The following is a 25,339-nucleotide window of genomic DNA, read 5'->3' as shown; positions in this document are numbered from 1 at the left end:
GCCATCCTCATCCCTGACCAATGATGGACTATTATATAAGTGAGAAGCTTTTCTTCTGCTAACTTGAGTTTATCTCTTAACACAGCGTATGATATTTACCTTAATTAGCACATGTGACCTTCCCAAGTTTCCATGTTCGTTTAGTGAGTGGTAGAGTCAGGACTGGTTCCTAGGTGGTCTGACTTCAGAGTGCATGATCTTCACTAACCCATAGGCTGTACCGCCTTTCCAGAATTCTTTTTTTTTTTTTTTTTTTTCGAGATGGAGTCTCGCTGTGTCGCCCAGGCTGGAGTGCAGTGGCGCGAACTCGGCTGACTGCAAGCTCTGCCTCCTGGGTTCACGCCATTCTGCCACCTCAGCCTCCCGAGTAGCTGGGACTACAGGCCTCCGCCACCACGCCCGGCTAATTTTTTGTATTTTTAGTAGAGATGAGGTTTCACCATGTTAGCCAGGATGGTCTCGATCTCCTGACCTTGTTATCTGCCCGCCTCGGCCTCCCAAAGTGCTGGAATTACAGGCATGAGCCACTGCGCCCGGCCCGCCTTTCCAGAATTCTGTATCAGTCTGTCCTGGTCATGCAAGGACTGGCCCATGGAAAGGCGGGAAAGGATTTCTGCCCCGAGCCTGTTTCCTTCTCCCTTAATATGTGTTTGTGTAGTGTGTTATAAGAGCCTGGCCTAGGTGTAGCAGAAAACCCATGGATAATTGAAAGATGGTTAAACCAAAAGAGGAGAGTTTCAGGCCTGGGTGGCATTCTGGTGACATGTGGTTCCCTTTGTGACACACTATTTGCCCACCCTTTGGGTCTATCACCCTTTGGGTCTACCCAAGAGGCTGGATGGGGCAGAGAAGCCACAGGCCGAGTGAGATCCCCCGGCTTCTGGCCTGGTGTGAACTCCCTGTCCTGGTGGGCACTGCTGGCTGCATCTACTGCAGGAGGATAAAACACAGTGGCCAGTCCGCACGAAGCTCCCACCAAACCAAGATTTGAGCGGTCCTCATGACCCACTGGAAGCTGTTCTGTGAGATTTCTCCAAGTACTCCTGACACCAGCCAGATTAAACAAGGCAGGCAGCAGCTGGGCCCAAGCAACTCAAAGACAGAGAAGCTGTCTGTCTCCTGCTTCCCATCCTCCTCCTGAAGGGAAACAGCCCAAACTCATGGCCCTGGGGAGATGCGGCTGTTCACATGTCCTTCCAGAGGGAAGTGCTCTGGGCCATTTTCATTGCCTGCTTGCTTTACTAAGTCATCACTGGCTCTGCTAGTGACGCTAGGAGGGCTTGTGAAGTCCGGTACCTGGGTTCAAGCAGGCCAGCCCTGCTTCTCTCTTTCTTTCCTTCCACCTGTGGGTGATGGGACCACAGGAGGCCTTAGACTTCCTGGAGAGGGTTTGGAATTGGCCACAGCTGGGCTGGAATCTGATCCCACCACTTACCCGCTGGGTGATGGTGGCCTCAGATTTCTCACCTCCAAAGTGAAAGATACTAGGAGCTCATCCGGGGCATGCATCCAGTCAATTTTTTAAAAACTAGCTTTAGCTTAGGTTGATGGCTTTCTTGGCCTCCTCCTTCATCTCACCTAGGTGACCACATTGGCTTCCCCTCCCTGTCCTCCACACTGCAGCCACAGCACTTTTTATGAAATCAAAACTCACAACTTTATTGCTTTGCACATAAAAAAAAAAATCGAACCTCTAACTGTGTCTTGTGAACCCTGCCATCCTCTCCTGTGCTCGGGCCTAACCACCCACCTTCTGTGTCCTTCTTTTTTTTTTTTTTTGACACGGAGTTTTGCTCTTGTTGCCCAGGCTGGAGTACAGTGGCACGATCTTGGCTACCTGCAACCTTCGCCTCCCAGGTTCAAGCAATTCTCCTGCCTCAGCCTCCCGATTAGCTGGGATTATAGGCATGTGCCACCATGCCCGGCTAATTTTTGTATTTTTAGTAGAGATGGGGTTTTGCCATGTTGGCCAGGCTAGTCTTGAACTCCTGAACTCAAGTGGTCCGCCCGCCTTGGCATCCCAAAGTGCTGGGATTACAGGCATGAGCCACCACCCCCAGCCCATTTTCACTTCTTGATGCCATGCTTTTCCTACTGTCTGTCCACTCCTGCCCATAGTTTCATGAGGCAAGGGCCCATGGGTGTCTACTCACCTCTCTTACCCAGAACTTAGCCCAGAACTTCCCCCTGGCACGAGGGAAGCTCTCAAGAAAATGTCATTGAATGAATGAAACGTGAGGACGAACTAAAATATTGCATGCAGAGCCCTTAGCACTATGCTGGGCACCAAGTAAGCACCAATAAATGTTAGCAATTAATGATAGTATTATTCTAACTTTAGGAGTGATGTAAAACAAAAGTTATCCAAACCAGCAGTGCTTTTCTTATTGGGTTGTCCCAAATAGGCAAGATTTGGGGTAAGTTGATGTAGTCTGGAAAGAAATATGAAAGCACACACACACACACATGCGCGTGCACGCGTCTCCCGGTGTAGTGAATGCTCCCCTTTAATTTCTGCCAGCATCTCTCAGAACTAGAATGTGGTTGCAGGGAGGAGCCTGAATGTCCCAGGAAGGCTAGAGGGATCTGTCCATGCTTGGGGAGGCTCTGAGGGTCCTCACTGCCCACCCACACCACATGCAGACTGTCCACCTCTGCTCCATGCAGAGAAAAGGCTGCAGATGCAGGCAGAGTTAGCTCTAGAATTGGGGAGCACTAAGATACCTCTAACAAAAGCTCCTCCAGGCAGGGCACCGTGGCTCACGCCTGTAATCCCAGCACTTTGGGAGATTGAGGCAGGTGGATCACCTGAGGTCGGGAGTTCGAGACCAGCCTGGCCAACATGGTGAAACCCTGGCTCTACTAAAAATACAAAAATTAGCCAGGTGTGGTGGTGCACCTGTAATCCCAGCTACTCGGGAGGCTGAGGCAGGAGAATTGCTTGAACCCAGGAGGTGGAGGTTGCAGTGAGCCGAGATCATGCCATTGCACTCCAGCCTGGGCAACAGAGTGAGACTCTGTCTCACAAAAAAAAAAAAAAGAAAAGAAAAAAGCTCCCCCAGGTGTTCAAAATACCAGCTCAGCCTCCACACGTTTGGGCAGCTCCTCTTTTTCTCCAGTAACGCTTGCCTTTTTCTCATCTCAAATCATTTCCACACAAGACCAGTGTCCACAGGAGTTTTAGAGACTTTATTTATGTATAAACAATTTAAACACTTTGCCATAAATTATCTTTGCCTGTCCCTAGTCTTTGCTTAGCAGCAAATTAAAATTAATATAAAAACTCGATGAACAATTCATACATGTATATTACAAAAAAGTTCCTGTACCAAAGTTCTTATTAGACTTTATTTTTGTTTTTTTAATTTTTAAAATTTTTTTTGTTTTTATTTTTATTTTTTAAATTTTCTCTCCTCGTGGTGACTGTCATGTGATTGTCTCAGTTTCTGGACCAAACAAACACACTAATAATTTTAAATCTGAAACAGTGATTGTGCCTTTCGGCTCATGTATGTACAGGGTGATCAGAAGTGGTACCTGTTAGCAAAAGTGTCACGATGCTGCACCTCTACCGAAACTGATACCCACGAACTACGGAATCTAAACAGACTACACCCTGTAACTGCGTATTACTGTCCACAATGGAATCTCCAAAGACAAAAGAGTATGAAATTTATCTGTAGTGATTATAGCCACCATTTTGAATTAAATTTTACACTCTGCGCTCAAATAAATTAGCTCAGGCCAGACTTAGTTGGGACCTGAGAGTTAAGTGCTGGATGGTATTATTTCACTTTGATTTTTGATAGGAATTTCTTTTATTCCCTCATGTTTTTTTTTCTTTAAAAAGTATTTCCAGTGCTCACTCCTCCTCTTTTATCCCCCCTCCCCAGGCGCTACACACAAATCACCCCCAAAGTCGTGTTTTAAATGCACCTGTATTTGCTTAAACGAAAATGTCAGAAGTATTTGTCCTACAAGCAGTCTGAGTGGTTTGTCCCGCAGCTGGTCTGGTGACGCTGGCCCTCGCGGATGTCTGCGTGTCGCTCACATGTGAATGAGTGAGGTAATTGGATATGAGGCCTTCTTTCTTATCTTCGCTTCTTTGTTTATTGGTCCGTGTGTTTGTTTTGTTTTGTTTTTGTTTGTTTTCTTCTTTGCTTATTCGTTTTTGTTCTTTTGTTCCTTTTGGACACTTTGCGTCTCTTTTCTGCGTAGACCCAGAACAAGTGGGTCATATTTTAGGGGAACTTGGAACATTGTGTGTGTCTGTTCATTCATTCGTTTGTTTTGTTTTCCTCGGAATTTTCAGCCGGGCTTTAGTCTACTTCAGGATGAGGGACTTCTCGCTTGGACAGTAGCATTTGAACTCAAAAAATGTGAGCTTTCTTGCCACTTGGTCTCCTAAAGCAGCCCAGCCGCAGTGCCCCTGTTAGGTCTTCATCTCCTTAGGAGAGGAGATAACAGTTACTCCTGCTGAGCCATTCAGACAAGGAATGGCAGCAGATTATTTTGTTACCTCTTTCCCATCTCATTCTGTCTTAAAAACTGGATGTTGCTGCTACTGTCTGCAAGCTCTGGGTATTGCTCCACGGGAAGCACGTAATATCCCTCGTACCCTTGCACGCGCCCGGTGCTCAGAAGCTGCTGCTTCTCGCCCTCAGTCCACAGGCGGCTCCCCTCTCTCCCGTCCCTGGCTTTCTGCTGCTCCTTGGCCCAGGCCGTGCCCAGGGCCCTCTGTCTCGCCTGGTCCAGGACGCGGGCCTTCTCTTCGTCCAGGGTGTCGGGGGTGAGGCCATAGCGGATGCTGAGCAGCAGCGTGGAGTACTGGAACTCAATGTTCGTGAACCTTCGAGTCCTGCCGTTGACCAGCAGCGTGGGCTGGGACACGGTCACGTTCACCCCGCTCTCTAGCACCTTGCGGCCGATGGTGGTGCCTAGTGTGACCAGGTCGCCATCGGCTGAGCCAATCTTCACAAAGTAGTGGGTGTCCTTGCCCTCGATGCTGTAGTGCATCTTGTCCAGGTAGTAGGCGTTGTTCAGCACAGATGCCACCTTGCGGCTATCTTCGCTGGCGATGCTGGACACGCCCGTGGTCACCCGCCCTTCTTTGATGGCAAACATGATGCCTTTGCCAATGATGGGCGTGGTGGTGGCAAACCAGTGACCTGCTTTCTCTCGGATGCTGGCGTGGAGCTTTTTAGTAATGACCTGTCCTTCCAGAGCCATGAAGGCCTGGTTATGTCTCTCTGTTGTCTGTTGGACACCTGTAATGAGCTGTGGGGATAAGAAAACAGAGAAAGCTGAGAAGATGAGCTGGGCAGCTCTCTCAAAAAGAGTCACAAAGAGAAAGGCTTGGAACTCTCCTGCAAGAACTAGTGTTGGGTCTATCCAGATCTGAGCTGTTGGGAGTCCTACCTTTTGGAACTATGGTTGGCTGGTTGATTACCAGTGCTCTGAACTATGGATGGCTGGTTGATTACTAATGCTCTGATGGTGTGGTCTGTCCATCTTGCAATTGCCACTAACTAAAAAAATGGTAAAGGAGGTTCACCCTTTGCTGGCATGGGCACCTGGACCTACACACTTACCGGGTCATGCCACCACTCGGGAAGTGCCCTGTTCTGTACTCTGATGGTTGGCAACTGCCTTGCCCGCTTTAGACCCAGGAATGTCCTGATGCGAAGGGCAGGATGTTGATTTGAACAGCCTCGAACCCCACCACTGTAAGCTAGATTTCCTGGAGGCCAATGACTTGGATATTCATTAACTTCCTTGGGTTAAGACCTTGCCACTCAAAGTATAGCCAGCAGCAGAGGAATCACTGGGACCTGCCCTGTTCAAAAAGCAGAATCTCAGGCCTCACTCCAGAACTACTGAGTCAGAGGCTACGTGTGAACAAGATGCCTTGGGTGATCTGTGTGCATATGAACATTTGAGAAGCACCAGGCTGAGAGAGTCAGGCTTTGAGGGCCAGAGGGAATATCCCCTGGCTTTGAGGCAGTTGTTTTGGATCCTCGCCCTGGTTCTGCAGGGGATGAAATCACCATTATCTCCTTGGCCTTGAGTTCTCCACTCGCAAATTACAACTTGTCTCAATTGGTGGTTGGGGGACAGGCTGGGATAATGGGAGAGGCTGCGTTTGGGAGGTAACGGCACTTAGATAAATGAGAGAAATGATGGCTATTCATCCACTGAGTGGTCCCCAAGGGGCAGGACTGAGTGAACGCTGTTCTCAATTACCCAGCAGCTCCTCCTTGCCTCTCTATAGTTACACAATCTGGACAATTATTCAGAGCAGCTGAGACCTTTCAGACTTTGATAGTGCTGAGCGCCGGTTCTGTAGCAGGGGTTATCTGAACGCCTCCCATCTGATTGTAGCAGAGGTCTCAGCTGCACCCAGATGGAAACTGACCACCCCTCGGTCATCGCAGAAAGACCCAAGCACAAATTATGTTCTGAAAACTCAATCTGTATATGCTTGGCCATAAAGCGCCGAGGTTTTATGTGGGGCATAAAAATGTTCTTTAATGGGACAGAAACTGCAAACCACAGTTTTATGACATCCCATAAAAGCTGAAAGGGTTATGATCTTATAGGCAGTGCAGATGGTAGGTTGCTGCTAGATTTCTCTGTGCTGTTGTTAATCAAGGAGTGACTCAAAGGTATTCTACTGAACAGATAATGATACCACAATTAAGGCAATAATCGAAGTTGGGAAGAAATATGTGCTGTGCCAGACAGGCGACAGCACTGACATTCGCTTTCCTGGGAAGTCTCAATGTGTCCTGCACCTTTTATACCCAGCTCCAATGTTTTCCTGCGCTGACATGCCCCTGGCTCCCATGAGGTTCTGTTTGCAAAAGGGAATGATGACAATCATTTGGATTCTTGGCAGGAACCTCTGCTTACCTGTCCATTCTCACTTGCTTGACTCTCTGACAATTCATAGGGAGGAGGCACGAAATACATTTTGGCTCTCGGGAAGCCAGGAATGATGTTGCTAAGCTGAAATCCAAACATCACAAGCCAGCTTTTCACATCTATGGTGGAAAACAAAAATAAAGGTTTCTGAAATCATGATGGATGGAGAGCAGCAGCAGAGCTTAAAGAGAGAACAAAATAAAATGGGTGGTTGGGTGTAGGGCCCAAAGGGGAGGGAGGAAGAGCTTATGACTGTCTCCTGAGTCCAGACCCAGGGCTTCCATACATGGGTTTTAGGAAGCAGATATCAAACTTGGTCAGTTGATAACCACCATGTGGTGATTAAGAAGACCCTTGCTCAAGTAAGACAGATCTAGCTTCGAATCCCCTGGCTGTGTGACCTTGGGCAAGTCCCAGCCCCACTCTGAGCCTTAGGTTCCTCAGATATGAATTGGGATAATAATTGTGTCGGTCTCATTGGGTTGTTATGAGGATCAAAGGAGAAAATCCACATAAAAGGCTTTTCGCAGTGCCTGGCACATTAACTGCTCAATAAATATCAACTCCTTTATTTAGCAAGTGTTTAAGGGAGCATCTATCACAGGCCACGCAGTGTGTTTAGAGGCTGGATATACAGGATGGACTGGAGGGATAAGTGATGATTCTTACTGTTGTGCAGGCCTTTTGGACTGGGGCCACTGCACTGAGGCTGGCTCACTATGGAAAGGGGTTTCCAAGAGCTGGACACAGATGGAAAGCAGAGTCCTCTGGACCATGAGAGGCTTTCTCCAGCCTTCCTACTCTCTTTTTTTTTGAGATGGAGTCTTGCTCTGTTGCCCAGGCTGGAGTGCGGTGGCGCAATCTCAGCTCACTGCAAACTCCGCCTCCCAGGTTCAAGCAATTCTCCTGCCTCAGCCTCCCAAGTAGCTGGGATTACAGGCATGCGCCACCACACCTGGCTAATTTTGTATTTTTCAGTAGAGACAGGGTTTCTCCATGTTGGTCAGGCTGGTTTCGAACTCCCGACCTCAGGTGATCCGCCCTCCTCAGCCTCCCAAAGTGCTGGGATTACAGGCATGAGCCACCGTGCCCGGCCCAGCCTTCCTACTCTTTAAAGAGAAACCAAGAAAGGGTACTGACTGCCCAGAGTAAGACCACCTGCCACACAGGCCAACATCAAGTCCTTGCATTGGGAATTATGCCACCTGCCCCAAGTGTCCTGCCCTCTGCTGAATGGTCTAGGTCCTTAGAAAAAGACTCCTTCCACACTGATCAATAGAGATTCCTGGATGTCCGTGCCTTGAAACACTCACTCAGCCTCCTGAGTAGCTGGGATTACAGGTGCCCGCCACCACGCCTGGCTCATTTTTGTATTATTATTAGTAGAGGCGGGGCTTTGCCATGTTAGCCAGGCTGGTCTCCAACTCCTAACCTCAGGTGATCCTTCCACCTTGGCCTCCCAAAGTGCTAGGATTACAGGTATGAGCCACTGTGCCTGGCCTAATCATTTCCCTTTAAAAAAAAAAATGTAAAACTCATATAAAATTCACCATTTGAAAGTGCACAATTCAGTGGTTTCCAGTACATTCACAATGTTATGCAACCATCATTACTAATTTCAGAACATTTTCATCACCTCCCAAAGCCCCTCATACCCATTAGTAGTCACTCTGCATTACCCCTCCCACAAACTGCTTTCTGTCTGTATGGGTTTACCTGTTTTGGACATTTGACATGAATGGAATCCCATGATACATGGCCTTTTGTGTCTGGCTTCTTTCACTCAGCATGATGTTTTTAAGGTTCTAAGTTTCATCCATTGTGGAGCATGCAGTGTGCTTTGTTTATCCATTTACCAGTTGATACATATTTGGGTTGTTTCCACTTTTTGGTTTTTTTTTGAGACTGAGCCTTGCTCTGTCACCCAGGCTGGAGTGCAGTGGCGCGATTTCGGCTCACTGCAACCTCCGCCTCCTGGGTTCAAGTGATTCCCTTGCCTCAGCCTCCCGAGTAGCTGGGACTACAGGTGCATGCCACCACACCCGGCTAATTTTTTGTATTTTTAGTAGAGACAGGGTTTCACCATGTTAGCCAGGATGGTCTCCATATCTTGACCTCGTGATCTGCCCGCCTCGGCCTCCCAAAGTGCTGGGATTACAGGCATGAGCCACTGCACCCGGCCTGTTTCCACTTTTTTACTATTATGAATAATGCTGCTATAAACATTCCTGCACAAAGTTTTGTTTGAAAGCCTGTTTTCCGTTTTCTTGTGTGTATGTGTAGGTGTGGAATTGCCGGGTCATGCAGCTAAATCCTTTACTTTTACTTTCACAATAGGTCCTGAGTATGTGTCTCCTCTCGCCACTTCCACTGCCTCTACTCAGTTCAGCACCTCCCGAGGGATGTCTAACTGGCCTCCATGCTTCCGCTCTGCACCCCACATTCCTTATCAGCACAGCAACCTGAGTGAGCCTTTCAATCAGGAGCTGGCCGGGCACGGTGGCTCACGCCTGTAATTCCAACACTTTGGGAGGCCAAGGCAGGCGGATCACCAGGTCAGGAGGTTGAGACCAGACTGTCCAACATGGTGAAACTCCGTCTCTACTAAAAATACAAAAATTAGCTGGGCGTGGTGGCGGGTGCCTGTAATCCCAGCTACCTGGGAGGCTGAGGCAGGAGAATCGCTTGAACCCGGGAGGCAGAGGTTGCAGTGAGCAGAGATCGTGCTACTGCACTCCAGCCTGGCAACAGAGTGAGACTCCGTCACAAAAAAAAAAAAAAAAAAATCAGGAGCTGCCCATGACATTCCTGAGAAGTTCAGAGCACCCCAGGGTCTCCCCACTTCTTTCATTGAAAAAGCCAAAGTCCTTCTAATGGCCTGGAAGGGCCCTCTCCACGACCTGTCTGACCACATCTCCCATGCTCTCCCTCGCTCCTGCCTCTGTGCTGTTCTTTGAATATGCCAGGGATGCACTCATCTCACCACCTTTATGTTGGTAGGCCCTCTGCCCAGCGGGCTTTTCCCTAAACGTATCCTCTGCCTCTCTTGCTCTCCCTCCTCTTTTCAGTCTTGCTCAGACTCTGCCTGCCCGGTAAGGCCAACCCCAACTGCCACCCCCCATCCCCACCTCTTGCAATCCCTAGTCCCCTTACCTTGCTCATGTCCCCCCAAAACAACAGTCACATTCTTCTAACATGCTGTGTCATTTCCACATTTATTGTATTTATGGTCTCTTTCACTCCAGCTTGCCTGGTGAAGGCAAGCTCCACCAGCATGGGGAGTTTAAAAACCTGTTTTCTTCATTGATGTCTCCCTAGGCCCTACAACAATGCCTGGCACAAAATAGGTGCTCCGTAAGTATCTATAGAATGAATGAATGAATGAGCACAGGACATATGTGGCAAGAGCTACCCTGACTAGTAGTAGTGTGACAGTGGATCTGTCTGTGCCTAAGAACACACTTCTGAAGGGGCTCAGGCATAACTACCTTCTGCCCTGGGACTACTGTGAGGTATTTAACGTTGACATTGCTGCCAAAAATATGGATATATAAGAACCCTCTAAGGAGAAGGAATCTGGGAGCTTTGATCTATCCACCTTCCTTGGGCACAGACTAGTCATTGAAAGACTTGGCATCTACACACATAACAATAGTCCATTTAAGAAACAGGTTTGAGGCCGGGCGAGGTGGCTCATGCCTGCAATCCCAGCATTTTGGGAGGCCGAGGCGGGTGGATCACCTGCGGTCAGGAGTTCAAGACCAGCCTGGCCAATATGGTGAAACCTCGTCTCGACTAAAAACACAAAAAATAGCCGGGCGTGGTGCACGCAGCTGTAATCCCAGCTACTCAGGAGGCTGGGGCAGGAGAATCACTTGAACCCGGGAGGTGGAGGCTGCAGTGAGCTGAGATTGTGCCATTGCACTTCAGCTTGGGCAACAGAGCAAGACTCCGTCTCAAAAAAAAAAAAAAAAGAATACAAGTTTGAAATTCCCTTAAAAAGTACGTTAATATCAAGCAGAGAGAAGCCTGGCTTTAATCTGGCAACAGCCATATATTTACAGAGCATCTACTATGTACCAGGTAGGTCCTGGGTGGAGAGCACTGGTTTCTCAACTTTGAATATTCATGGCCACCTGTTGCTAAAAATATATATACATATATATACACATATATATACATATAGACATATATATATATTTGCCATATCTAGGTATCACTTGTATTATTATTTATTTACTGATTAAAAAATAAATTTGCCTTTCCATTTAGGTAAATCCATTAAAAAAATAAATTCTAGCCAGGCGCGGTGGCTCACGCCTGTAATCCTAGCACTTTGGGAGGCCGAGGCGGGCAGATCACGAGGTCAGGAGTTCGAGACCAGCCTGACCAACATGGTGAAACCGTGTCTGTACTAAAAATACAAAAATTAGCATGGCATGGTGGCGCCTGCCTGTAATCCCAGCTACTCAGGAGGCCGAGGCAGGAAAACTGCTTGAACCTGGGAGGTGGAGGTTGCAGTGAGCCGAGAGTATGCCACTGCACTCCAGCCTGGGAGACAGAGTGAGACTTCGTCTCAAAAAATAAAATAAAATAAATAAATAAAAAATAAATTTTATGTCACTACCATGAATGGGAAAGTAGGCTTACTTGGCGTAAACAGAAAATAACTGTAAAATTAAAACAAAGAAAACAAAGTCAAGCAATTAAATTAGAGTACTTGATTTTGTTACCTGCCACTGAGGGAGACTTAGACCTGCTCTCTCTGTTGAAAAGGGAGATTAGAACTGTTAATGAGGCCAGGCGTGGTGGCTCATGCCTGTAATCCCAGCACTTGGGAGGCTGAGGTGGGTGGATCACCTGAGGTCAGGAGTTCGAGACCAGCTTGATCAATATGGTGAAAGCCCGTCTCTACTAAAGATATACAAAAAAATTAGCTCAGCTTGGTGGTGGGCACCTGTAGTCCCAGCTCCTCAGGAGGCTGATACAGGAGAATTGCTTGAAACCAGGAGGTGGAGGTTGCAGTGAGCCAAGACCGTGCCACTGCACTCCAGCCTGGGTGACAGAGGGAGACTCTGTCTCAAGGAAAAAAAGAAAAAAAAAGAAGTGTTAATGAGGTGTAAATACATACCAGCATCAAGTGAGACTTTCTCCTCTGAATTGAAAGAATTAAGAGAGCATTGAAAAGGGACTATCTCTCCCCATCTGTGTTTTTTTGTTACTTAATACTTCATCTGTATACCACATCAAATCGTCCCATCTTTCACCAGGGATAGGGTATGTAGGGAATTCCAAGAAAAGCAAGAGAAGTCCTTGTCCTTTTTTCTTTTCTTTCTTTCTTTCTTTTTTTTTTTTGAGACAGCGTCTTGCTCTGTCACCCAGGCTGGAGTGCAGTGGTGTGACCTCGTCTCACTGCAACCTCTGCCTCCCAGGTTCAAGAGATTCTCCTGCCTCAGCTTCTCTAGTAGCTGGGATCACAGGCACGCACCACCATGCCCCGCTAATTTTTGTATTTTTAGTAGAGAAGGAGTTTTGCTATGTTGGCCAGGCTGGTCTTGAACTCCTGACCTCAGGTGATCCACCTGCCTCAGCCTCCCAAAGTGCTGGGATTACAGGCGTAAGCCACCGCAACTGGCTGAGAAGGCCTTGTCTTTAGAAGACTCTCCTCATTGGGATCTTTTTCCTCCAGGGATCTCTCTCTCCCTAGCTCAGGATCCCTTGAGGAGGTGAAAGTGATGTTAAGAGCCCTCCTGCCTCTGTGACCAGGAATTTCAATGGCCATTCCCATGAACAGCAATCCTTATGTCCTAGTTCTTGTAGTTCTTCTTTCTCTTCTTCTTCCTTCCTCTTACTTTTCTTTCTATTCTTCCTCTTCCTCCCTTTCTTCCTCTTCCTCCCCTTCTTCCTCTTCCTCTTCCTCCCCTTCTTCCTCTTCCTCCCCTTCTTCCTCTTCCTCTCCCTCCCCTTTCCCTCTTTCCTCTTCTTTAAATTTTCTAACATGGCTGGTTTCTGAGCCTCAATCCCTTTGGAAATGTTTATTCTAGTGACTCCGCTCCATGCTGCGGAAGGCATTTCTGAGACAACACAACACCCCTCCTCCTTTAGAAGTAATTGGTGTTATCTGGTAACAGCCTCCCTAAACAGTCTGTCTAGAGGGAATTGCTTGGGCAGGAGCTGGCACTGTGGCACCGCCTAATAGCTCATGACTCTCCTCTTCTCACGTTCTTCACAGCGTGTGATTATCCACCGCCAAAGCGCGTTCTCCCTCTGAACACGCTGTCAGTGCAGCACCTTCAGGTGTTAAGTGTAAATATGAGAAGAGGATGATGTGAGAAGGAGGTTGTGTCTTCCTCCTCACTTAGGTAAATTAAACTTTACAAAATCTGACTTTAAGCTAAAGTGTGCCTGGGGTTCGTAGCCAAAGACCCAACAGGGAGAAAGGGATAGGGGATATATGCATCATCATGGGCCACGTCTAGGAGGGTCACTGAACTCAAATTTTATCTGGGGCTTTGCTAAAGCAATGCCATTCAGAGCAGGGTTGGAATCTATTTCAAGGTGGATCGGGAGACCGTTCTCCACATACCTCAGAAAATAATACAAAGGCAGTGTCCTCACTCTTCATCTTTGAACTCCCCACCTCCAAGTCCATAGCTGCTTATAAATAATGAGTGCGTAGCCAGGCGCGGTGGCTCACGCCTGTAATCCCAGCACTTTGGGAGGCCGAGGCGGGCGAATCACAAGGTCAGGAGATCGAGACCATCCTGGCTAACACGGTGAAACCCCGTCTCTACTAAAAATACAAACAATTAGCCGGGCGTGGTGGCGGGCGCCTGTAGTTCCAGCTACTCCGCGGGCTGAGGCAGGAGAATGGTGTGAACCCGTGAGGCGGAGCTTGCAGTGAGCCAAGATCGTACCACTGCACTCCAGCCTGGGCGACAGAGTGAGACTCTGTCTCAAAAAAAAAAAAAATAAAATAATGAATGCATTTATTAGCTTTTTTTGCTCTGTGCTTTTATTAGCCTTTGCTCTGTGCTAGGCACTTTACATGTCATGATGCATTTAGTTTTCAAGACCCCATAAGGTGACTGCTATTATTATCATTACTATTTTGCTGATGAAGAAATTGTGGCTCTGCCAGGCGCGGTGGCTCACGCCTGTAATCCCAGCACTTTGGGAGGCCGAGGCAGGCCGATCACAAGATCAGGAGATTGAGAACATCCTGGCTAACACAGTGAAACCCCATCTCTACTAAAAATACAAAAAAATTAGCTGGGCGTGGTTGCACATGCCTGTAGTCCCAGCTACTCGGGAGGCTGAGGCAGGAGAATCGCTTGAACCCGGGAGGCAGAGGTTGCAGTGAGCCAAGATCATGCCACTGCACTCCAGCCTGGGCGACAGAGCAAGACTCTGTCTCAAAAAAACAAAACAAAACAAACAAACAAAAAATACTGTGGCTCTAAAGGGTTGAGATATTTGTCTAAGTCACACAGCAAGTGATTGGCAAGGTTAGAAGTAGTGCCTCTTTTCTTTTCTTTTTTGTTTTTTTTTTTTGAGACTGAGTTTCGCTCTTGTTTCTCAGACTGGAGTGCAATGGTGCGATCTCAGCTCACTGCAATCTCTGCCTCCCAAGTTAAAGCGATTCTCTTGCCTCAGCCTCCCAAGTAGCTGGGATTACAGGTGCCTGCCACGATGCCTGGCTAATTTTTTTTGTATTTTTAGTAGAGACGGGGTTTCACCATGTTACTCAGGCTGGTCTCAAACTACTGGCTTCAGGTGATCCACCCGCCTCGGCCTCCCAAAGTGCTGGGATTACAGGTGTGAGTCACCGCGCCTGGCCAAGAAGTGGTGTCTTGAGATGGACTCAGGTTCTAATATGAGAGAGAACTGGCCTCAGAATAGGGCAGAGCTGGGGGCAGGGTATAGATCCCAGTGTGTCCAAGACGGAAGAGTTTCCTGGGATGCTAAAATTGGAAAAGTCTAGGCCATTGCAGGTTGTTGGGAGGTAGTCTCCCAGTCTTTTTTTTTTTTTTTTTGAGACAGGGTCTCAAAAAAGAGTGCCATGGCACAATCACAGCTTATTGCAACCTCAATCTCCTGGGCTCAAGCAATCCTTTTGCCTCAGCCTCCCAAGCAGCTGGGACCACGGGTGTGCACCACTACACTTGGCTAACTTTTAAATTTTTGGTAGAGATGGGATCTCTCTACATTGCCCAGGCTGGTCTCAAACTCCTAGACTGAAGTGATACTCTTGCCTTGGCCTCCCAAAGTGCTGGTATTACAGGCCTAAGCCACCATGCCTGGCCCAGTCTTTCTTTTACACTCTTTCTTCTCATATCTTTTCATCACAGGTATGTCAATCATCCATATATTACCTTAAAAAGTAACTGTTCAAAAGAGTGCTGCTTTGCAGCCTGTAAGTGAGAAGGAACCACTTCTTGCCCCCTCCGCCTGCTCCTGGAGGCTAATTTGTGTTCCTGCCCAGATGTCTCTGAGCTCCTACCCAGTCAGTACTCTGGGTTGCTTTCCTTTGTCCTCACATTCTTGGGCAGAACAAATAGACCCTTCTCTGGCTTCAGGAGCTGCCACTTGCATTCAGAGAGTTCTGTCTCCAAACAGCCACCATTCTTTTGCTGCTACTGGGTACTGGAGAGAAAAGGTTCTGTTCTTTGTGTTCCTCCCGACTACATCTTAATTACCTCTTCTGCTTACATTGTGAGCAGTGAGTTCAGCCACTCTGCTAGTCTCCTAAGTGGCAAATTAAGACTAATTTAGATGGGGTTTACAGATGAGCCAAATGTGAACAGCAGAGAATGATTTGGTGTTCTCCACTTGGATCCCCACTCCCAGGTCTCTGCCCGAGCGTGGGCTGTGCCTGGTCCGGCTCCTTCTCTCCCTTGGCTCCCACTGAAGACATCCACCCTGTGCACGCCGCTTCTCTGACACCACCCTTTATTTTAGACTCTCTAATGGTTTCTGGATTCAATTTCGTTGGACTTAGTTCAACTTGATTTGATTCCCATTTATTGAGTCTCCATGAAACACCGGAATGAGAAAAGCAGTATTGCTATTCAGAAAACCCTGCTAATTATTTTTTGGCCTTTTCTGGAGAGCCAGGTAAGTAGCTGAGGGGGTCAGTGAGGCTGACTGTGCCCTGTGAAATGATTTTGTTTGCGTCTTGGCAGCGGGACATGTCTGTTCAGCCCACACTGTGGGTTTCTCTTTATTGCCTCTCTGGCTGATTCATTCCCAAGGTGTCTGATACCAACCAGGCTTCTGGAAGGGACATTCTGTGTGGGGCAGGATTCTCTCCTATGGCTAAGGTAGGCCTAGTCAACCTCCCCATTCACAGTTTCCTGTCTCTGGAACACTCCTCCTCTCTCCCTGCACTTCATAAATGTCTGATCAACACTACCTGCTCAGAAAGGCCGTCCGTGATCCCCTCCATAAAGGAGACACTTCTCATCGCTCTCCATGTCCTCTTCCTATTTTTTCATCTTTATATCATGTATCATTACCTAATATTAATACTATATATGTGTGTTTTCTTGAGACTTATTTTAATTTGCAGCTGCAGTGATTTCGGGGATAAAAGTTATGCTAAGCATGGGGTAAGCGGGGAAGCCCTGGCAGGGCCTCGATGAGGCACGGGGGAGGAGGACAGGAGGGTTTACAGATGTTAGCCTAGGTCGCTTGGCCATAACTTCCGGGTCCGAAAGGTCCCAGATGCTTCTGGGGCTTGGGGATTCTGGGTTCGACTTCCAAAGGTCCGGGGCTTGTCACTGAAGCAATGCATGGCCACAGTTGATCTTTAAGGATGTTTGTTTATTTCTGCAGCATGGGGCTTAGATGGCAGCACTGTGCTCCAGGTAGATGCTGCTTCCATTCCTGCCTTGGGGATGGACAAGTGGCCTCAGTCACCTGAGTGTCGATGCCTCCTTGGCCCATGACCAAGAGCTGTGAGTTTTCTGGAACTTGGGGTTCTGGTCTTGGGTCCTCATTATTGTTTCTCTATACAAAGCATAAACAGGTGAGATGGCCCCAGCCTGCTTGCTGAAAGTTAGCCCTTTGGGGCCCTGGTCTCTTTGGATCTCACTCTCTCTCTCCCCTTCTCTCTACCTACCTACCTACCAACCATCCATCTATCCATTCATCCTCCCATCCACACACCCATCCATCCATTCACCCACCCATCCACCTACCCATCCATCAATTTATCCATCTATTTACCCATCCATCCATCCATCCATCCATCCATCCATCCATCCATCCATCCATCCATCCATCCATCCATCCACTCATCCAGCCAGCCAGCCATCCAGTCAGCCATCCATCCAGCCATCCACCCAACCATCCAGCCATCCTGATTTCCTTGCTCATTTCCCTGAGGACAGGGACTTTATCTTTCCTCCCATTGTGTCTCTAGTATTTAGTACAATTTAAATACTATACAAATATTTGTTGAATGGGTGAATGGATGGATGGAGAGAGACTCTTATTTCACCAATTTCTTTTTCTTTTCTTTTCCTTTCATTTCTTTTTGTGAGATGGGTTCTCACTCTGTGCGCAGGCTGGAGTGCAGTGTCATGATCATAGCTCACTCTAGCCTCCAACTCCTGAGCTCAAGAGATTCTCCCTACTTAGGCCCCTGGGTAGTTTGGACCACAGGCATATGCCACCACACGCAGCTAATTCATTTCACCCATTTCTCACTTATCACAGAGAAGTAGATAATCTGCCTTTCTTGGCCCCTCCTTTCATGCTATTCTCCAAACTTCCTATGTCCTTATGACATTTGTTCATAGCCTTCCTTCAGCCTTGAGCTCACTTCTGCCGGCCAAGGTCCCATGAATTCTTCAGGCCCATTTTGACATGAGCCCTTCTGTATTATGCCAATCTTGAAAATCTGAATTAATCTGCACACACACACACACACACACACACACACCTTGAGAGAACGGTATTTGTCTTATTCACCATTGAATCCCCAGAACTTAGCACAGTGCCACTTTATAAATGCGTTTTGATAAACAACTGAACAGACACCTATATGGTAGCAAAGACTTAATTCTACTTTGCATTATCGTTGGTTATTTGAATATGTCTCTCACCAGATGAGCCTCTGGAGGTCAGGAACTGGGTTACAGTCATCTCGATACTTACGCTCACTCATTGCTTCTCTAGTAATGACAATGTTAATAACACAAGCAGATACCATTTCATGATCATCCACTAGACTATAACTACACAAGTTCATTTACTTTTTTTTTTTTTTTTTGAGACAGGGTCTTGCTCTGTCACCTAGGCTAGGTGGAGTGCAGTGGCATGATCTCAACTCACTGCAACCTCTGCTTTCCTGAGTTCAAGTGATTTTCTTGGCTCAGCCTCCTGAGTAGCTGGGCCTACAGGCATGTACCACCACACCTGGCTAATTTTTGTATTTTTAGTAGAGATGGTGTTTCACCATCTTGGCCAGGCTGATCTTGAACTCCTGACCTCAAGGGATCCATCTGCCTCAGCCTCTCAAAGTGCTGGGATTACGTGGGTGGCATGAGCCACCATGCCCAGCTGTGTTCATTTACTTGTCATGATCACTCTGTAGGATGGTTTTATCAGTGCCCTTCACAGGGAAGGAAACTATAGTTCAGAGAGATTGAACAACTAGTCCAAGGTCCTTTGGCTTATAAATAGAAGAGAGAGAATTTGAACCAGGTATTTCTGACACCAGAGCCCTATTCTCTCCCCGCTTCTTACTGCTTTCCTCTGTTGGGGTAGGAAGGGCTCTTATAAAGTTATTTCAACTGACTGGACATGAAAGTGGTTGGGACATCTTCAAACAGTCCTCATGACTGCTCTGTACTGCCGTCTCTCTACTTTTCTAGACTCTGTAGTGCTGCCAACTGCACTGCCTGGGCTTTATGGCCCATGGGCTTCTCCTACCATAAGATGGGAGACCTTCCTCCCAAGTTCCCCACAGCAACAAGTACCCTGGAGGGAGCCACTGCCCACCTTTGGTGGCAGAATCCTCACCTGTCACGTAGTTCTTCAAATCTAGCTCACTGCTGAGAGGATTGTTGCTCTTGAACATATACAGGTTAAAGGGGGCCGGCTCCTTGCCCACGTTTTTCCACATGGTATAGTCTGGGGAGGTCCATCGTCCTGCCAGCACATCATAATCACGCTGAGTGAAGTGGACCAGCTTGGTCAGGGGGTCATAGAGTCCCCCATGGAAGCCAATGACCATCTGGAAGTCGGGGTTGGAGTCATAATAAATCTCCCCATAGGCCGTGTACTGCAGCTGTTTGATCATGAGGCCGTTGATGCTGAACACAGCCAGAGGAGTCCCTGTGTTATCAGAGGCAACATAGTACTCCTCCCCACTGCTGCTCTCCATGGCAAAGAGGTGGCCCTGGAGGTCGTAGTACAGTGAGGTAATCTCCGAGTTGGAGTGATTGTAGACATGGGTGATGCGCGTCGGGTTGTGGAGGTCAGAGTAGAAGTACTGCAGGTGGTGGCCCAGGTTGGTCTTGTAGGAAGCCCGCCGTCCTACGCCATCATAGCGGTACTGGACACTCCACCCGCTGGCCTTGTTGTAGGCTCTTGTTAGGAGGCCCTTGGAATTGTATTCGAAGATGTCAGACCCTCTCTGGCACAGATAGCCATCGTCGTCAATTTTGTACTGCACATCCCCGAGTCTGGTTATCCGATCCCGGAGGTCATAGCGCAAGGGCATGAGGCGCACACTGTTGCCTGGGTTCAGTAAGTGGAGATTCCCATTAAGGTCATAGCTGTAGCGCCAGGTCGGGCGGTCATTGACGGCCACGCTCTGGAGCTGCCCGTCCCCATCGTAGTCATAGGTGTACTTCGTGGTATTGGCATAGGGCCCCAGTTTTAGCTCCCTCTTGATCACCCTGCCCATGCTGTCATATTGCACCGTCATCCAGTACATGAGGGACCGGAACATCTCATACTGGACCTCCTTGATCCGCCCATGGGTGTCGAAGTGTTTGCTGAGGGTCATCACGGCAGTGGTGATGATCTGGTTGATGTCATAATAGATGACTCCAAACTTACCAAAGTGTTCCACCTTGCCAGAAATCTCATCATAGCGGTAGAGGTCAACGGGGAGGGGAGTCTCACTTATGACGGGCTTGATGCTTGCGATGCGGAAGCTGTTGTCATGATAGGTGTAGTCAAACCTGGCATTGACCATGCCTTCCTCGGAGAACCTGTAGATCTGCTTGTCCACCAGGGGGCCAATCTTCCGGTACCTGATGGTGCAGGAGAAGCCCCCACTTTGGAGGTTGACCATCTTCAAGACACCAGTGGTCTCGTCATACCCGAAGGTGACGGCGGTACTGTCGTAGACAATCTCTGATAACTTGGAGAGTTTCCCATACTTGTAGAACACCTGGCGTCCGGTGCCCAAAAAGGAGGTCTTCAGGATGCGGCCGTCATCACTGTAGTCAAAGATGACCGAAGCATTGCTTTCAGGCGGGTTGTAAATATTACGGATGTAGCCGATGGAGGTGTGTGTGGACATGCTGTGCCGGGCCACGCTGGGCATGGTGACGGCAAGGAGGCGGTCAGAGGAGTCATACTCAAATATATACTGACGTTGGCTCTGAAGCAGGAGGACCATGGACTGCAGAAAGGAAAGGGGAACAGAACATATCAGTTGGCTTTTGAGGACCAAGCATTCAAACAGACAGAATTTAGTCCATTTCCCCAAATGTCAACTCAAAAGTCATGAAAGATGGGAAGCTTAGACCAGATTAAACAGATTTATTTCACTGGACATGCCAATTTTGATGGATCATGGTGGTTGCCTAGACCAGTGCTTCCCAAATTTAATGTGCATGCAAAATACTCAGGATCTTGTAAAAAGGCAGAGTCTAATTTGGTAGATCTGGGGTGGGGCCTGAGAATCTGCATTTTGTAACAAACTCCCTGCAAATGCCAATGTTGCTTGGATGATACTTTAAGAATTGAGGGCCTGGACAGCTGAAGTAAGAGGCATGAGGTTTACCTCCATGCTCAATAACAAGGAACCCCAAGATTGCTTAGAAATGACTGCCACTGGGTCCAGCAGGGGAGCTGTGTGAAACACATACCCTGATTAAATTTAAAAAAGAGAAAACACATCCTGCATTTTTTTTTTTTTTTGAAACAGAGTCTCACTCCATCACCCAGGCTGGAGTGCAGTGGTGCAATCTCAGCTCACTGCAACCTACTCTACCTCCTGGGTTCAAGCGATTCTCCTGTCTCAGCCTCCCAAGTAGCTGGAATTACAGGCATGCACCACCACGCCTGGCTAATTTTCATATTTTTAGTAGAGACGGGGTTTCACCATGTTGGCCAGGCTGGTGTCGAACTCCTGACCTCAAGTGATCAGCCCGCCTCGGCCTCCCAAAGAGCTGGGATTACAGGTGTGAGCCATTGCGCCCAGCCACATCCTGCATTTTGAAGCTACTGCAAAGATGAAATAACCTAGAATCACTGATTCTTTGGGGGAAAAAAATGACTTCAATTAGAGGCAATTGGGAGGTTCCTGCTCCCCTGGTCAATCATTCCTGTGTTTCAGGCATAACAAGGACAGCATTCAGGAAGGACCAAGGGGACAGCAGTTCTGTCTTGCAGAGGGGTAACAGCTTTGTCTGCAAGTCACCGCTGTAATGAGTTGGTGAGAAAGGAAGGAATGGACCTGCACCAAGGGGAGTCTAGGTGAGAGGCCCGGGTTGAGCAAGCCCTGTCTAATGACTACATGGCCAGGGCAGCCTTCAAAAGTCTTGATACGTGCCCAAAGGGACCTTTTTTTTTTTTTTTTTTACCGCCACTCCAACCTGACCTTTTTCAAGCATGAAGACCTGAATTTGGCACTTTCAGACACAGGGAATCATGTAGAGAGAATTCATGGGCTGTTTCAGCCAACAGGGCAAATAGGAGAGGGTTGCTCTGTGTGCTTGAATTTTAGGCAAAATTCCCCATCCTGACGGCTTAATTTAGGGCAAGACAGAAATGAATCACTGCATTTCCAATTCATAAGTAATGATGAGCCACGCTGCCAGTGGGATGATTCTGTCCGCTTCAACAGTACTTTTTTCTTTTTTGAAATAGAATCAGACAATTCGTCCTTTTTGCCATTACTGAGCGTCTAGCACCCCCGCCCCCCACCCCAATGGTAATAGTGCTGAGCTATGAATAACATTTGCCTTCAGATTTTCTTCCCTCTGTGAGGGTGGGAGCAGGAGGGAAGTCCTTGTAGAGTCGAAGTAAAGATGTTAAGATGTCTCATGGCAAAACATATCAGGCTAGCTTACAAGAGCAGCAGAAATGGTCAGGTGCGGTGACTCATACCTGTAATCCCAGCACTTTGGGAGGCTGAGGTGGGCGATCACCTGAGGTCAGGAATTCGAGACCAGCCTGGCCAATGTGGGGAAACCCATCTCTACTAAAAATACAAAATTAGCCGGGCGTGGTGACATGTGCCTGTAGTCACAGCTACCCAGGAGGCACAGGCAGGAGAATTACTTGAACCTGGGAGGCAGAGGTTGCAGTGAGCCGAGATCATGCCACTGCACTCCAGCCTGGGCAACAGAGCAAGTCTCTGTCTCAAAAAAAAAAAGAAGCCGGAATAACAGAAATAACAGAAAGCCCTTGCTGTCAGGGCAGCATGTTCACCTACCTTGTCAAGGTAGGAGTAGCTCCACACTTTCCCGTCAGCGAACATGCGGGACACGATGCGGCCTTGCTTGTCGATGTCTGTCCTCTCGCTCATGGCCCCACGCTGAAGCCCAGCCAGGCGCCCATTGAAGAAGTATGACACGTTGACAGCTGCCAGCCCGCTGCTGGGCAGCCAGAGGAAGGGGCGGCCCACCTGGTCATAAATGATCCTCAGGGTGAACTTCCGGTGGTCATCATAGATCTTTTCAGTCCGAATATTTCGATCATAGTCAATGGACAAGAGATTTCTTCCATGGACCTAGGAAAACACAACAGGCCTTGTTTGAAAGACATCACCCAGGCATGCCGGCTCAGGCTTCTGTGGAGGACATGGCTGGCATGGCCAGGGCTTAAGTGTTCACTGGAGGAAGAAATAACCCCAAAGTTAGAGTAGTGCTTTCTAAGCTCCTTATCATGGCACAGATAGAAAATGGCAAAATTTGGCCGGGTGTGGTGGCTCACGCCTGTAATCCTAGCACTGTGGGAGGCTGAAGTGGGTGGATCACCTGAGGTCGGGAGTTCAAGACCAGCCTGGCCAACATGGTGAAACCCCGTCTGTACTAAAAATATAAAAATTAGCTGGCATGGTGGCATGCACCTGTAGTTCCAGCTACTGGGAGGCTGAGGCAGGAGAATCACTTGAACCTGGGAGGTGGAGATGGCAGTGAGCTGAAATTGTGCCATGCACTCCAGCCTGGGTGACAGAGTGAGACTCTATCTTAAAAAAAAAAAAAAAAAAAACCAAAGAAAAGAAAATGGTAGTATTTGTATGGTGCAATATGCAATAGAATATAAAAATAAGGCAGCTTATGGACAGAGATGATTGACCTGGGCATGGCTGTGATGGGCAGTTGGGTAGGCTGTGCACTGCACAATTACAAAGGGTGCCATAGGATCGTGGAAAGTGTGAATGGTGAAAATTGTGCAGTGTGCAAATTATACAGCAATATACAACAGACTTGAACCCTGGAGTTTTGCCTGGGCTGCCTGGCCACCCTGGGGGCAAGAGAGTTTGCATATTTGCACACTTGGAACTCTTTTTGGCACATCATTAGCTGAGAAGCTAATGATCTTTAAGAACAGGTGCCATAATTTCTTATGAAATCTTAAGTAAAGTTACCTAGAAGAGTGGAGAACAGGGCTTAGAAATCCATATTTTACAAAGATTTGGGAATATGAAGCCTCATTCCTATGTGAACTTCTTTCCTTCTAATATCTAGAGAAAAATCTTGTCACTGTCAAGAATGTGAGACATCAGTGGGGAGGCCTCAGCAGGGCTAGGGGATTTCCAACAAAGGGATGAACTGATTTACTTAGATTTGAAAGGAATAGGGAAACACATCAGACATAATTTAATATTTATTTAGAAGTTGATCTGATCAGAGAAGAAAGCCTATCCCAGAAGGCAGAGCTGGGAGACTAGACTCTGGTGAGGGGCAAAGGAGAGGGGCTCCTGAGATTCAGCTAGCCCTGAGTGGGTGGCTGGAAGTGAATGAAATGAACCAGACTCAGCCCAGGCTCTCACAACTTCACTGACTGCAAATCCAGACATCCCTGGGGTGGCTGCTGAAGGCAAGGGATGATGTAAATAGGCGAAAGGAAGAGACTCGAGAGATGTCTGGTACCTCCTCACTTTACCCTAATAATTCAACAGCACTTACTGGTAATAATGATGGTAGTGATGGTGGTGATGATAGTAATAATAAGTTTTTTTTTTTTTTTGAGATAGAGTCTCACTCTGTTGCCCAGGCTGGAGTGCAGTGGTGCAATCTCAGCTCACTGCAACCTCTGTCTCCCGGGTTCAAGTGATTCTCCTGCCTCAGCCTCCCTCCTGAGTAGTTGGGATTAGAGGCATGTGCCATCATACTGGGCTAATTTTTGTATTTTTAGTAGAGACGAGGTTTCACCATGTTGGCCAGGCTGGTCTCGAACTCCTGACCTCAGGTGATCCACCCACCTTGTCCTCCCAAAGTTCTAGGATTACAGGTGTGAGCCACCACGCCCAGCTGATAGTAATGATGACTTTAATATATGCTGAGGACGAATATATACAGGCATTGTGTTAGGCATTTTGCATCCATTGTTTGAGTTGTTGCTCACAAAGACCATTTGACAAATGATAAAAAAAGCTTCAAACAGAGTGGTTACAAAACTTGCTCAAGGTCACACAGCAGTGAAGTGGTTGGATTGGTCTGGAACTTAGGCCTTCAGACTTTAACCAGTTAACTTCTTATACACTTCACCAGCTTTACTGCTTCCTGTATTGTATGTCCATTGAGTGCCCTGAAATGTGTCAAATGATGAACAGACTGTGAAGCATTTTCACAGCCCTTGAACGCTCCACATTGCAGCTTTGGGGGTGTGAGGGGGTGGGACAAGGAATAATTCTAATACCACAGACACTTGCATTCTGGGAAACAGCTTTGTGCCCAGGTAATGAAACACATTTCGCAGCTTCCTTCAGAGATACGGGTGGCCAACAAGATGTAAGTGGTTGTTGTTGGCTGGTCTTCTGGGAAATATTCTTAAAGGAAATTGACTCAGCTGAGAGCTAGGCAATCTTTAATTCTTCCCTTTCCTCCTTTTCCTGGGTGAAATGTGTATGTGATGGCTGGAGCTCCAGCATTTACCTTGTGACTATGAGGTGACTTTGGGGCTGGAGACCTCCAGGATGATGGCCTATCCAGAGAAA

General features: G+C 47.8%; 1 protein-coding gene across 33 annotated transcripts in view, besides 1 other annotated feature; it reads right to left on the bottom strand.

The window, feature by feature from the left end:
* Positions 1 to 3,168: 3,168 nt before the first annotated feature.
* TENM2 (teneurin transmembrane protein 2) overlaps positions 3,169 to 25,339 on the bottom strand; it is a 1,285,129-nt gene continuing 1,262,958 nt past the window's right edge. For all 33 annotated transcript variants that reach the window (XM_047417418.1, NM_001395460.1, XM_017009661.2 and 30 more), the window contains 4 exons: positions 22,610 to 22,906; positions 18,955 to 20,569; positions 6,913 to 7,043; positions 3,169 to 5,277 (listed from right to left, as the gene is read on the bottom strand). In XM_047417418.1, the coding sequence (XP_047273374.1) occupies positions 4,516 to 5,277; positions 6,913 to 7,043; positions 18,955 to 20,569; positions 22,610 to 22,906 (2,805 nt within the window). In that variant the 3' untranslated portion in view covers positions 3,169 to 4,515. The remainder of the gene's footprint in view (positions 5,278 to 6,912; positions 7,044 to 18,954; positions 20,570 to 22,609; positions 22,907 to 25,339) is intronic.
* Positions 17,671 to 17,740: an enhancer, noted in NCBI's record as "active region_23587". NCBI's record gives its function as "activates an Ori minimal core promoter by ATAC-STARR-seq in GM12878 lymphoblastoid cells {active_cell/tissue: GM12878}" and the evidence as "EXISTENCE:reporter gene assay evidence [ECO:0000049][PMID:35858748]".

The sequence above is a fragment of the Homo sapiens genome, chromosome 5 (genome assembly GCF_000001405.40).
Source record: "Homo sapiens chromosome 5, GRCh38.p14 Primary Assembly".
Taxonomy (NCBI): Eukaryota; Metazoa; Chordata; class Mammalia; order Primates; family Hominidae; genus Homo; species Homo sapiens.
This window is presented reverse-complemented; position numbering and strand designations above follow the sequence as displayed.